This window comes from Homo sapiens, chromosome 4 (genome assembly GCF_000001405.40).
Source record: "Homo sapiens chromosome 4, GRCh38.p14 Primary Assembly".
In the NCBI taxonomy this organism is placed as follows: domain Eukaryota; kingdom Metazoa; phylum Chordata; class Mammalia; order Primates; family Hominidae; genus Homo; species Homo sapiens.
Window position 1 is genome coordinate 14,790,146 of NC_000004.12, and position 16,075 is coordinate 14,806,220.

The 16,075-nt window shown below is 39.7% G+C and overlaps 1 long non-coding RNA gene across 1 annotated transcript in view; it reads right to left on the reverse strand.

Annotated features, from left to right (window-relative positions):
* The window catches only part of LINC00504 (long intergenic non-protein coding RNA 504), a 417,705-nt gene that overhangs the window by 319,681 nt on the left and 81,949 nt on the right, over window positions 1–16,075 (reverse strand). The window lies entirely within an intron of this gene.

The window sequence follows — 16,075 nt, forward strand, 5'->3', positions numbered from 1 at the left end:
ATTAAACAACTTGCTCCTGGATAACTTTTGGGTAAAGAATGAAATTAAGTCAGAAATCAAAAACTTATGTGAAATAAATGAAAACAGAAACCCAACATACCAAAATCTTTAGGATGCAGCAAAAACAGTGTTAAGAGAAAAGTTTATAGTGCTAAGCACCTACCTCAAAAAGTTAGAAAGATCTCAAATTAATAATCTGAGAGCAAACCTAGAGGAACTAGAAAAGCAAGAACAAACTAACCCCAAAGCTAGCAGAAGAAAATAACTAAAATCAGGTCAGAACTGAACAAAACTTATGTCCCAGAATCTTCACAAAGACTCCATGAAATCAAAAGGTATTTTTGAAAGGATAAACAAGATCAATAGACCACTAGCTACATTAACAAGAGAAAAAGAGAGAAGATGCAAATATCCACAATTAGAAATAACAAAGGTGACATAATATCTCACAGAAATACAGAAGATCCTCAGAGGCTATTATAAATACCTCTATACACACAAACTACAAATTCTAGAGGAAATGAGTAAGTTACTGGAAACACACAGTCTCACCAGGTTGAATCAGGAAAAACTGAAACCATGAACAGACTAATATTGAGTTCTGAAATTGAATCAGCAACAAAATCCTACCAACCAAAAAAAGCCATAGACTGGATGGATTCACAGCTGAATTCTACCAGACATACAAAGAAGAGCTGGTACCAATTCTACAAAAACTATTCCAAAACATCAATCAAAGAGGAGGGACTCATTCCCAACATATTCTATGAAGCCACAATTATCTTGATACCAAAAGCTGGTGAAGACATGAAAAAAAGAGAAAATTACAGGCCAATATGCCTGACAAATATAGATGCAAAAATTCTCAACAAAATACTAGGAAATCAAATCTAACAGCACATTACAAAGTTAATTCATCATGATCACCTAGGCTTAATTCCTGGGATGTAACGTTGGTTCAACATATGCAAATTAATAAATGTCATTCACCGCATAAACAGAATTAAAAACAAAAACCATATGGTCATCTCAATAAATGTGAAAAAGTCTTCATTAAATTCTAACATCCTTTCATAATAAAAACCCTCAAGAACTTAAGCACTGAAAGAGCATGCTTGAAAATAATGAAAGCCATCTATGACAAACCCATGGGCAACATCATACTAAGTGGGCAAAAACTGGAAGCATTTCCCTTGAGAACTGAAACAAGAATGTCCACTCTTACCACTCCTGTTCAACATAATACTAGAAGTGCTAGCCAGAGCAATCAGGCAAGAGAGAGAAATAAAAGGCATCCAAATAAGAAAAGAAGTCAAACTATCACTCTTCACAGATGATAAGTATTTTAGAGACCTAAAAACCCCTAAAGATTCTGCCAAAAGGCTGGGGAACTGATAAACAACTTTAGTAACATCTTAAGATACAAAATCAGAGTACAAAAAACAGTAGCATTTTGTTGCACCAATAACATTCAAGCTTAGAGCCAAATCAAGAATGCCATCTCATTCATAATAGCCACAAAAACATAAAATAAAATACCTAAGAATAAATCTAACCAAGAAGGCGAAAGACTTCAAGGAGAAGTACAAAACACTGCTAAAAGAAATCATAGATTACACAAACAAATGGAAAAAACATTCCATGCTCATGGACTGGAAGAATCAATAACGTTAAAATGTCCACAACATCCAAAGAAATCTATAGATTCACTGCTATTTATATCAAACTACCAACTCATTTTTCATGGAACTAAAAAAAACTGTTCTAAAATTCATATGGAACCACAAAAGCCCAAATAGCCAAAGCATTCCTAATGAAAAAGAACAAAGCCAGAGGTATCACATTACCTGACTTAAAACTATACTAAGGCTACAGTAACTAAAAACAGCATGGTGCTTGTACAAAACAGACACATAAATAAATGCAATAGAATATAGAATCCAGAAATAAAGCTGTACACCTACAGCCATCTGATCTTCAACAAAGCCAACAAGAATAAGAAACAGGAAAAGTAATTTTCTATGCAATAAATGGTGCCGGGATAGCTGGCTAACCATATGTAGGAGACTGAAACTGGACCCCTACTGTATTAATCCATTCTCACACTGCTATAAAGAACTACCTGAGGACAAAAAAGTATTGGATGTGGCGGATGGGAGGCAAGAATAGATTGCAGCTCCAACTCAGATGGACAGAGAAGTGTGTGGAGGCTTGCATCATGAATTTTAGATCCAGAACAAATGCAGGAATAAATCAGGAAACATGAGAGGACCCAAAGACCCTCTGAAGGATGCAGACTGCTCCTGCACAATCTGGGAGACACACCAAATATTGTAAGTGTGCAAACTGTGGAAGTGGGAAAAAGAGGTTGTCCACCCCTGAACACACACCTCCACTGGGGAAACTGAAGGTCTAGTTTACAGGAGAAGATTCTGACCTTACCTGGAGCTGAGTCAATTTAGACAGCCAAGCGAAATACAGGGGTAGAAGAAGCAGTGGGAAAGGTCTGGTGAGCTCACTGCATCCCCAAGCAGGCCACTGCTGCCTGGAATCACAGGGAACCTTCAGGAGGGTGGCCAGAGATGTGGGGAAAACACCACAGGGAGAAGGAAATCTCTAGCTGAACTTTGTAACAATTCAAACTGCTTGAGAAGGCTCCTAGCCACAACTTGGGGGAGGGCATGAATCCAGCATCCAGACTTTGCAGGTAGGGGAAGAACTAAAGCCCTACTTTCTGTTGCAGCTAGGAGGCAGGTATCCTGGGGCAAGTTCTCAGCCCTGCTTGCCCACTGCCAGGAAACAGACTTGGTGCTCATAGGAGAGGCATGGTGGGAGTGAGACCAGCCCTTCAGATTGTGTGGGAGCTGGGTGAGGCCTGTGGCTGCCAGCTTTCCCCCACCTCCCTTACAAACAGCATGACTCAGCAGAGGTAGTCATAATCCTTGTAGGAACATAACTCCATTGACTGGGCACCTCACCCCCATCCTCCACAGCAGCCACAGCAAGACCCACCCAAAGACAGTCTGAGTTCAGACACTCCTAGCCTTGCCCCCACCTGATGGTCCTTCCATACCCAACCTGGTAACTGAACACAAAGGACATATACTCTTGGGAGTCTAAAGCCCCACTCTCTGCCTTCTCCATAGTATGACAGCTGATGCTATCTGGAAAGCACCATCTCCCAGCAGGAGGCCGATCAGCATAAAAATAGAGCATTAAATTACCAAAGTTAAGAACCCTCACAGAATCCATTTCACCCACCACCACCTGCAGCAGAACAGGTGCTGGTATCCACCGCTGAGAGACCCATAGACCATTCACATCACAGGACTCTGTGCAGACAATCCCCAGCACCAGCTCAGAGCCTGGTAGACTTGCTGGGTGGCTAGATCCAGAAGAGAGATAACAATCACTACATCTTGGCTCTCAGGAAGTCACATCCATAGGCAAAGGGGAAGGCACTACATCAAAGGAACACCCCGTGGGACAAAAGAATCTGAACAACAGCCTTCAGCCCTATAACTTCATTCTGACAGAGCATACCCAAATGAGAAGGAACAGAAAATCAACTCTGGTAATATGACAAAACAAGGCTCTTTAACACCCCCCAAAAAATTACACCAGCTCACCAGCGATGGATCCAAACCAAGAAGAAATCCCTGATTTACCTGAAAAAGAATTCAGGAGATTAGTTGTTAAGCTAATGAGGGAGGCACCAGAGAAAGGTGAAGCCCAATGCAAGGAAATCCAAAAAGGAATACAAGAAGGGAAGGAAGAAATATACAATGGAATAGAAGGCATAAATAAGAAACAATCAAAACTACAGGAAACACTGGACACACTTTAGAAATGCAAAATGCCCTGGAAAATCTTGGCAATAGAATTGAACGAGAAGAAGAAAGAAATTCAGAGCTCAAAGGCAAGGTCTTCAAATTAACCCAATCCAACAAAAAGAAAGAGAAAAGAATAAGAAAGTATGAACAAAGCCTCCAAGAAGTCTGGGATTATGTTAAAGAACCAAACCTAAGAATATTTGGCGTTCCTGGGGAAGAAGAGAAATCTAAAAGTTTGGAAAACAATTAGGGGAATAATCAAGGAAGACTTCCTTGGCCTTGATAGAGACCTAGACATCCAAATACAAGAAGCACAAAAAACACCTGGGAAATTCATTGCAAAAAGATCATTGCCTAGGCACACTGTCATCAGATTAACTAAAGTTAAGACAAGGAAAGAATCTTAAGAGCTGTGAGACAAAAGCACCAGCTAACCTATAAAGGAAACCCATTACATTAACAGCAGATTTCTCAGCAGAAACCCTACAAGCTAGAAGGGATTGGGGCCCTATCTTCAGCCTCCTCAAACGAAATAATTAGCAGCCAAGAATTCTGTATCCAGATAAATTAAGCATCATATATGAAGGAAAAACAGAGTGTTTTTCAGAAAAACAAATGCTGAGAGAATTCACCACTACTAACCCACCACTACAAGAACTGCTAAGAGAAGCTCTAAATCTTGAAACAAATCCTGGAAACATAACAAAACAGAACCTCTTTAAAGCATAAATCTCACAGGACCTATAAAACAAAAATAAAATTTAAAAAACAAAAACAAAAAATCAAGGTACACAGGCAACAAACAGCATGATGAATGGAATGGTACCTCACATCTCAATACTAACATTGAATGTAAATGGCTTAAATGTTCCATCTAAAAGATACAGGACTGCAGAATGGATAAGAATTCACCAACCAACTATCTGCTGCCTTCAAGAGACTCAACTCACACATAAGGACGCACATAAACCTAAGGTAAAAGAGTGGAAAATGGCATTTCATGCAAATGGACACCAAAAGTGATCAGGAGTAGTTATTCTTATGTCAGACAAAACAAACTTTAAAGAAACAGCAGTTAAAAGAGACAAAGAGGAACATTATATAATGGTAAAAGGCCTTGTCCAACAGGAAAATATCACAATCTTAAACATATATGCACCTAACACTAGAGCTCCCAAATTTACAAAACAATTACTAATAGACCTAGAAATGAGATAGACAGCAACACAATAATAGTGGGGAACTTCAATATTCCACTGACAGCACTAGACAGACCATCAAGACAGAAAGTCAACAAAGAAACAATGAATTTAAACTATACCTGGGAACACCTGGACTTAACAGATATATACAGATATTTCATCCAACAACCAGTGAATACACATTCTATGCAGCAGCACATGGAACTTTCTCCAAGATAGACCATATGATAGGGCACAAAACGAGTTTCAATAAATTTTAAAAAATTAAAATTATATCAAACACTCTCTCAGACCTCAGTGGAATAAAACTGGAAATAAACTCCAAAAAGAACCTTCAAAACTATGCATACACATGGAAATTAAATAACCTGCTCCTGAATGATCACTGGGTCACAAATGAAACCAAGATGGAAATAAAAAATTTATTCAAACTGAACAACAATAGGGACCCAACCTATCAAAACCTCTGGGATACAGCAAAGGCAGTGCTAACAGGAAAGTTCATAGCCCTAAACACCTACATTAAAAAGACTGAAAGAGTACAAACTGACAATCTGAGGTCACACTTCAAGGAACTAGAGAAATAAGAATAAAACAAACCCAAACCCAGCAGCAGAAGAAAAATAACCAAGATCAGAGCAGAACTAAATGAAACTGAAACGAAAAAATACAAAAGATAAATGAAACAAAGGGCTGGTTCTGCTAAAAAATAAATAAAATTGACAGACCATTCACAAGATTAACCAAGAAAAGAAGAGAGAAAATCCAAATAACCTCACTAAGAAACAAAGCGGGAGATATTACAACTAACACCACAGAAATATAAAAGATCATTCAAGGCTACTATGAACATCTTTACATGCATAAACTAGAAGATCTAGAAGAGATGGATACATTCCTGAAAAGATACAACCCTCCTAGCTTAAATCAGGAAGAATTAGAGACCCTGAACAAACCAATAACAAGCAGCAAGTAACTTTTAAATTACTTTGTAATTTTTGTAATTGTAAAATTGTACTTGTAAAAATTACAAGTAAAAATTACAAGCAAAAATTGTACTTGTAAAAATTACAAGTAATTTTTAAATTACCAACAAAAAAAGTCCAGGAGCAAATGGATTCTTGGCAGAATTCTATCAGAAATTCAAAGAATTGGTATCAATCCTTTGGCACTATTCCACAAGATAGAGAAAGAGGGAACCTTCCCAAAATCATTTGATGAAGACAACATCACCATAATACCAAAACCAGGAAAGAACATAGCCAAAAAATAAAACTATAGACTGATACCCCTGATGAACATAGATGCTAAAATCTTTAACAAAATACAAGCTAACCAAATCCAACAACATATCACTATGGAAAACAATGTGGAGATTCCTTAAAGAACTAAAAGTATAACTACCATTTGATCCAGCAATCCCACTACTAGGTATCTACCCAGAAGAAAAGAAGTCATAATATGAAAAGGATACTTACACATGCATGTTTGTAGCAGCACAATTCGCAATTGCAAAATTGTGGAAACAACCCAAGTGCCCATGGGAACCATCAATCAACAAGTGGATAAAGAGATTGTGAGACACACATATATATATATATATATATAATGGAATACTACTCAGTCCCAAACAGTAATAAACTAATGGCATTTGCAGCAACCTGGATGAAACTGGATACTATTATTCCAAGTGAAGTAACTCAGAAATGGAAAACCAAACATCATATGTTCTCACTGATATGTGGGAGTTAAGCTATGAGGACACAAAGGCATAAGAATGATACAATGGAGCTTGGGGACTTTGGGGGAAGGGTAGGAGGGGTTCAGGGGATAAAAGACTACAAATACAGTGCAGTGGATATTGCTCAGGGGATGGGTGCACCAAAATCTCACAAATCACCACTAAAGAACTTACTCACATAACTAAACACCACCTGTACCCTAATAACCTATGAAAAATAAAAAAATTTAAAAAAACTACCTGAGACTGGGTAATTTCTGAAGAAAAGAGGATTTACTGACTCAGAGTTCTGCAAACTGTACAAGAAGTATGGCTAAGAGGCCTCAGGAAACTTACAATCATGGCAGAAGGTGAAGAGGAAGCAAGCACGTCTTACCATGGCAAAGCAGGAGAGAGAGAAAGAGAGAGAGGGGACAAAGGGGGAGATGCCACACACTTTTAAACAATCAGATCTTGTGAGAACTCACTGTCATGAGAACATCAAGGGGGAAATGCACCCCAATGATCCAACCCACTAGGCCCCTCCCCTGAAAGACGGAGATTACAATTCAACATGAGATTTGAGCGGGGACACGGAGCCAAACCATATCATTCTGTCCCTGGCCCCCTCCAAGGCTCATGTCCCATGAAAGCAGCTGGGAGGGAGGTTGTACCCTGCAAAGCCACAGGGATGGAGCTTCCCAAGACCATGGGAACCCGCCTCTTGCATCAGCATAACCTGGATGTGAGACATGGCATCAAAGCAGATCATTTTGCAGATTTAAGATTTGATTGCCCTGCTAGATTTCAGACTTGCATGGGCCCGATAACCCCTTTGTTTTGGCAAATTTATCTTATTTGGAACGGCTGTATTTACCCAATACCTGTACCCCCATTGTATCTAGGAATTAACTAGCTTGCTTTTGATTTTACAGGCTCATAGGTGTAAAGGACTTGCTTTGTCTCAGATGACTTTGGACTGTGGACTTTTGGGTTAATGCTGAAATGAATTAAGACTTTGGGGGATGTTGGGAAGGCATGATTGGTTTTGAAATGTGAGAACATGAGATTTGGAGGGGCCAGGGGTGAAACAATATGATTTGGCTGTGTACCCATCCAAATCTCAACTTTAATTGTATCTCCCAGAATTCCCAAGTATTGTGAGAGGGACATAGGGGGAGGTGATTTAATCATGGAGGCTGATCTTTCCCGTGCTATTCTTGCGATAGAGAATAAGTCTCACAAGACCTGATGGGTTTATCAGGGGTTTCCGCTTTTGCTTCATCCTCATTTTTCTCTTGCCACTACCGTGTAAGAACTGGCTTTTGCCTCACACCATGATTCTGAGGCCTCCCCAGCCATGTGGAACTATGAGTCCAATTAAACCTCTTTTTGTTTCCAGTTTCAGATATGTCTTTATCACAGCATAAAAACAAACTAATAAAACAAGTTAGTTACTTCCAAAATACAATGGGGGTACAGGTATTGGGTAAATGTTCCCATTCCAAATGGGAGAAAATAGCCAAAACAAAGGGGCCACAACTCCATTTCAATACCCAGCAGGGCAGTCATTAAATCTTAAAGCTTTAAAATAATCTCTTCTGACTTCGTGTCTCACACCCAGGGCACATTGATGTAAAAGGTTGGCTCCCAAGGCCTTGGGCAGATCCACCCATGTGGCTCTGCAGGGTACAGCCTCCATGGCTGCTTTCAGTGGGTGGCATTGAGTGCCTACAGCTTTTCCAGGCACACAGTGCAAGCTGTTGGTGGATCTACCATTCTAGCATCTTGAGGATGGTAGCCCTCTTCTCATAGCTCCACTAGGCAATGTCGCAGTGGGAATTCTGTGTAGGGCACTGCCCTAGTAGAGGTTCTCCATGAGGACTCCAACCCAGCAGGAAACTTCTGCCTGGACATCCAGGCATTTCCACACATCCTCTGAAATCTAGATGGAGGCTCCTAAAATCTTGCCTTCTGTGCACCCACAGGCCTAACACCACATGGAAGCCACCAAAGCTTGGGACTTGCATCCTCTGAAGCAATGGCCTGAACTGTACATTGCTCTCTTTTAGTCACAGCTGGAGCTGCAGTGGCTGGGATGCAGGATGTCATATCCCATGGATTCACAAAGAAGCTGGGCACTGGTCCTAGCCATTGAAACCATTTTTCCCTCATAGGCCTCTGGGCCTGTGTTGCGAGGGGTGCCGCAAAGGTCACTGACAGGCCCTGAAGATATTTTCCCCATTGTCTTGGCTATTAACATTCAGCTTCTCTTTATTTGTGCAAGTTTCTGAAGATGGCTTGAATTCCTCCCCAGAAAATGGGTTTTTCTTTTCTACCACATGGTCATGATACAAACTTTCCAAACTTTTACGCTATGCTCCTCTTTTAAGCATAAATTCCAATTTCAGATTATCTTTTTGTAAATGCATATGACTGTATGCTGTTAGGAACAGCCAGGTCGAATCTTGAACACTTTGCTGCTTAGAAATTTCTTCCACCAGCCTGTAATCCCAGTAGTTTGGGAGGCCGAGGTGAGCAGATCACTTGAGGTCAGGAGTTCGAGACCAGCCTGGCCACCATGGTGAAACCCCATCTCTGCTAAAAATACAAAAATTAGCCAGGCATGGTGGTGGATGCCTCTAATCCCAGCTACTCAGGAGGCTGAGGCAGGAGAATCGCTTGAACCCAGGAGGTGGAGGTTGCAGTGAGCCGAGATCATGCCACTGCACTCCAGCCTGGGTGACATAGCAAGACTCTGTCTCACAAAAAAAAAAAAAAAAAAAAAAAAAAGAAAGAAAGAAATTTCTTCCACCGGATACCCTAAATCATCTCTCTCAAGTTGAAAATTCTACATATCTCTAGGGCAGGGGCAAAATGCCAACAGTTTCTTTGCTAAAGCATAGCAAGAGTGACCTTTACTCCAGTTCCCAAGAAGTTCCTCATCTCCATCTGATACAACCTCAGCCTGGACTTCATTGTCCATATAACTCTAAGCATTTTGGTCAGAACCGTTCAACAAGACTCTAGGAAGTTCCAAACTTTCCCACATTTTGCTGTCTTCTTTTGAGCCCTTTAAACTGTTCCAACCTCTGCTTATTACCAAAGTCACTTCCACATTTTCAGGTATCTTTATAGCAATGCTCCACTCCTGGTACCAATTTCTGTATTAGTCTGTTCTCACACTGCTATAAAGAACTACCTGAGCCTGGTAATTTCCAAAGAAAAGAGGTTTAATTCACTCACAATTCTGTAGGCTGTACAGGAAGCATGGCTGGGAAGCCTCAGGAAACTTACAATCATGGAGGAAGGTGAAGGGGAAGCAAGCACATCTGACCATGGCAGAGCAGGAGAGAGAGAGTGTGTAAAGGGGAGGTGCCACATACTTTTAAATGATCATATCTCATGAGGACTCGTTCACTATCACAAGAACAGCAAGGTGAAAACCACCGCCATAATCCAATCATCTCCCACCAGGCCCCTCCCCTGACACATGGGGATTACAATTCGAGATAAGATTTGGGTAGGGACACAGAGGCAAATCATGTAACATACTTTTCATCATATAAAAAAATTAACTCATGGTGGATTAAAGATTTAAGAATAAGACTTCAAACTATAAAAGTCCTGGACACAAGCCTTGAGAAAGAATTTATGACTAAGTTCTCAAAATTAATGGCAACAAAAAGAATCATCAATAAGTGGAACCTAATTAAACTAAAGAGATTTTGCACAGCAAACTGTAATCCTAGCACTTTGGGAGGCTAAGGCAGGCTTGAGCCCAGGAATTCAAGACCAGCCTGGGCAACATAGTGAGACACCACCTCTACAAAATATAACAATAATAAATAGCCAGGCAAGGTGGTGCACACCTGTAGTCCCAGCTATTTGGGAGGCTGAGGTGGGAGAATTTCTTGATCTCAGGAGGTTGAGATTTCAATGAGCCACAATTGCACCACTGTACTACATCCTGGGTGACACAGTAAGACCTTGTCTCAAACAAACAAACAAAAACACATGCATAAACCAAAAAAGAGAAGCTATCAACAGAATAATCAGACAATCTAAAGAATGGCAAAAATATTAGCAAACTATGCATCTGGCAAGGGTCTAATATTCAGAATCTGTAAGAAATTTAAACAACTGAACCAGCAAAATACAAATAACCCCATTAAAAAATGAGCCAAAATCATGAACAGACAATGCTCAAAACTAGACACAGAAGCAGCCAACAAAGATGATAAAATGTTTCACATCGCCAGTCATCAGAGAAATGCAAATCAAAACCACAATGAGACACTATCTCACACCAGTCAGAGTGGCTATTATTAAAAAGCCAAAAAACAACAAATGCTGGTAAGACTGCGAAGAAAAGGGAATGCTCATATACTGTTATTGGGAATGTAAATTAGTTCAGCCACTATAGAAAGCAGTTTGAAGATTTCTCAAAGAAATTCAAACAGAACTACCACATGACCCAGAAATCCCATTACTGGGTATACATCTAAAAGAAAACAAATCATTCCACCAAAAAGACACATGCACTTGCACGTCCACTGCAGCACTATTTACAGTAGCAAAGACATAGAATCAACCTAGGTGCCACATCAATGGTGGACAGGATAATGAAAATGTGGTACATATCCACTGGGGAATAATACACTGCCATTAAAAAGAACAAAATTATATATTTTATAGCTACATGGATGCAGCTGGAGGGCATTATCCTAAGCTAATTAATCCGGGAACAGAAAACTAAATATTACATATTCTCACTTATAAATGGAAGCTAAACACTGAGTGCTCATGGACATAAAGATAGCAACAGTAGAAACTGGGTACTACAATAGGATGGAGGGAAGGAAGGGGAAGGAGATGAAAAACCTACTATTGGGTTCTATGCTCGGTACCAGAGTGATGAGATCATTCATACGCCAAACCTCAGCATCACACAACATACCCAGGTAACAAACCTGCACATGTATACATGTACCACCTGAATCTAAAATAAAAGCAGAAAACAATAAAAATTTAAAAATAAAAGGCATGGCTATAAACAATCAGAGGTAGGACAGATATAATTATCCTCACATCTCAGAATAACAAAGACAATCAGAGATGACTTGCCTGAGAAAGTATCCTTTGGTTCCACTACTCTTCAACAATGGTGTGCTGGGAATTGCACTCAAAGCTTGTCTATACTTAGGCATACCATGTTGAAATCAAACTGTTGTCTGTTCCTGTATCAATTAGCATAGGATAATGGCCTTCACAGCCTGATTGCTTTCAGATAAGGCATGTAATGTCTGTTTCATGGATGATCAGGACCAACCATCAGCCATGCCTGGTCTCCTTGATTTCCTTGTGTTTTCTATCCTTAATACTTATTCATCTTTACCAAAGCTTGTTTGTATCATTTTTCCAAAGAGATCCAGTGTAGTGGGTTTAACTGCTTTATTGTAAGACTTAAAAAAATTAAAAGGTGCTTAGAAGCCTCTTGGCTCAGGACTCCAATGTTGAAATCAGTCATTTGATGAGTACCTGCTATATATGCCAGGTGCCTTAAAAACATTCATCTTACTAAACCCTAATAATAATGATGAAATGTGGGGTTATTATCCTATTATCCTAATTAAGCAAGAAAAGAAGCCAAATCTCTGGAAAGTCAAGTGACTTCCTTACATGTGCACAGCTACTAGGTAGCAATGCCAGGATTTGAACTCAGATCCTTCCCTTATGCTATATTTCCTCTATAGTTAGCTTTGTTGTCTAGATAGCCAAGAACTTGTGTTCTGATTCAATATTCGCATATTCACCAAGAGTATTCATATAATTCACAATATTCACCAAGAGTAACCTAAAACAATAAATGATGCAATCATTTCGCTTCAGATAAGTCTCATAATCCTCAAAATTGTCACTGCCTAGTATCTGTCATATTGGCTAAAAGATCAGTCACATAATTACATCATAAAACCTGATCTCATACCTGGGCTGCCTATTTTCTAAAAAGGAGACAGTCAAATGTACTTGATATTCAAACAAAGCATAGGCATCACTTGCTCTTCTCTTGCCATTAAACCACTGTGGTTCTCATCATCAGCAACTATCATCAATTCAGGAAAATGTGACCCTGGCTGACAAGGAGATCCAGCTAATGAAGCTCTCAATGAGAGTTGAGTGTGCTTGGTAGATATGAAATGCAGACAGGGAAAATTGGTACTTTTAACTAATGCTGGTAAGAGCATAAGAACAGTTTGGTAAAACTGATTGAAATTATAAATATAAAAGCATTTAGACCCATGGAACACAAGTATAGAATTATGTATTTATCAAGATATCATTGTAACATTGTTTGTGGGAACAAATGTTGGAAACCATTAAAAGGTCCGTCCAAAGAAAGCAAGTTAAATAAAACACAATAAAGGTCTACCGTTTCTAATCCAGAATGCTTGAGGCCGATTTTGTTTTAGAATGCAGATTGTTTTTCACTCTAGTTTAGTAACATGGCCCACAGATGAGATGTACACCCATTACCATCAGGCCTTGGGAAGCATACTCTAATCAAATATATTGGTACTTCTGAGGTATGTCACATAAACATGAAGTGGGATAATCAAAAAGCATAAACATTTTCATACCAGTTCAAATTCGTTTGCTGCCAGATGAGTTTGGGTGTCAAAATTTAGAGGAAAAAAACCCAGTTTTCAGGGTTTTGGGGATTTGGGAATTGGAGTTAAGGATTGTGGACCTGTATATTTACATAGTGGAATATTGTGAAACGAGCTAAAAACAAGTGAGGCAACTCAATATACTGATGTGGAAACTTCAATATATATTCTAAATTGAAAAAAATATATGTCAGGAAGTGTATACGGATGCTATCATTGGTGTTTTATACGCACACACACATGAGCTGTACATGCATAGAACTGCTCTAGAAAGACACAAAAGGAACGGATTTCAGTTTTTGTCTGGAAATGCAAATGGGTGGCTGGGGAATAGATATGGAGAGAGAGATGACCCTTTTCTCTACTGATGCACTTTAGAATATTTGGAATTTGTGTAGAGTGCCTGTGTTTGCAAATTAAATTGAATAATTAATATTCTCCTGACTGCCACCTGAAAGAGCTTTCCCTAAATATCGCATTCCCCATCACTCTATATCACATCCCATGTTTTTTTTTTTTTTCTTTGCAGCACTTTCTACTAGCCATGACTTCATCTTCATTTGTATATCGTTTTACTGTTGGGATACCACTTTAGAACACAAGCTCCACGTTTGCCTGGCTTGTTAGTGAACCTCAGCACCTAGACAGGGACTGGCACAAGGGAACTTTGAGGAACTATACATCCCACACCAAGAGGCAGGCTGAGGTAGAAAGTGCAGAGTAAACCATGCTTGTTCTCATAACAAAGCCTGACCTCAGTGTGCAGACAAAAGTGGCCCTACTGGTTGTCCATAAAGGACAATTTTTGAATTATTTTCCTGATTGTAAAGAGGGCAAAAGGGCTGGCCACACTCTAATCTATGGCCCCATTATAATATCTGGCTGGGAATACTTTGAACAACACATTGTGTGATGAGGCTGAGGTGTTCTGAGCACCTCCCAACCTCCTTCCTGTCGTTGAAGAAAGAAATTCACACAACTGCACCTGCCTGCAGACCTCCCTGCAGCCCCCTGCCAGAACATCCTGAAAAACCCCATCCCCTCCCATGTAGAACACACTGTATGCTTCCCTGCTCCCTCTCCTCCTGAGTCCTCTGCCCAGAGGTCCTTCCTGGCCATTCTCTGCTCAGCTGAACCTCATCCTTCAAAGTACACCTCAAAATATTATTTCTACTATGGAGGCTTTCTAAGTCCCTCAGTTATAACCAATCCCTTCCCTCAAAACCAGTCTCCTCTCCCCTAACACTCAGGCAGATAGTTCATTCTAGGAAACTTATTCCATCTGGTATTAAAATCAGCTGTTTCCATATCGCCAGTAGACCATGAGTTTCTCGAGCACAAAGACCCTACCTAAAGGGAAAGTTCTCCCTTTATTCCCAGCACCTAAAGTGGAACTTAACACATTCTTAGAACAAAATTTGTTTTAACTTTACATCAGAGAAGAGAGGAGAGACAATTAGAGCATTCAAAAGCAATATTCTGTGCTGTGGAAAAAAAAAAAGTAAATGCTTAGGAATCCTCATCTTTATCTTGGCCCCACCACTGATAATTCTGTAACTTCTAATTGTTTCCTTAACATCTCCGAGCTTCTATTTCCTCAATTCTAAAATGGGCCAATAATATCTACTTTGTAGGAATGAGATAGAGATTAAATTCCACTTAGCCAAGGACTTAACACAGAGTAAGCATTCCATAGATGCTATTTCTTTAGTTTCCTTTATTACATGGAAAAAAGATGGATAAATTAGAAAGTATTTAAAAAATAAAGCTGATATTTACTGTTAAATCAAATTCATAATTGGGCCATACAGACATTTAACTTTTGACCTCATTCCACTACCCCCAGGGTCCAGTTTTAAATTGACTAGGATAATTAACAATGGCATAGAGTAAATCCAGATGAAGAACACTCATTCCCAGAGGTAAAGCCATAATTTCTCTGAGCCTTCAGATTAAAGGCAAATCTTCTAAAATCCTATCCAGACAAACAATATGGCAGGATTTCTCCGACTCAAAAAATACAAAATGTGGGGCTGGGATATCCTACCTCAAATTCCAATTCTGTTTCTTACTTGAGTCAGGTGAAAGGATAAGGAAGACTCAGAAGCAGCAGTGCTGTAACAAAGCTGCAGCAGGTAAATTAAATGCCATTGGCATCACTAGGAGGCTGAACCTGGTTATGTGCTCCAGTGATCATACGCTATGCTTATATTGTGCTACCTGATTTTCCACTCACCTGTCCTGTTGGTTTCTGCTCTTTTTGTCCTCAATTGGGTCCAAGAGAATTAGTTCCTTTGCAAAAGAGACTCACCAAAAAATTGAAAGACAATTACATAATGCTACACTTGCCAGGTTCTGTTTATTATGAATCCAGGAGTTGGTATGAGTTCTCTCTGGCAGGAAGATTTGAGCTGTGTTCTGTTAAGTCACAGGTATCCAACCTATGGCCAGATAAGTGGAGAGACTTGACTACATGGCTTTGGAACTCTCCTTGGTTGTGATATGTGTGTCATGTCACCATGCTTGTTTTGTACCCAACATTCAAGTCTAGTTTTACCTTCTTTGGGAATCTTTTGGGACTCTTTCCCTATGAGGGATACCACCCTTCTGGGACCCCCACAGCAAGGGCCATCTTTAAACATTTTGCAG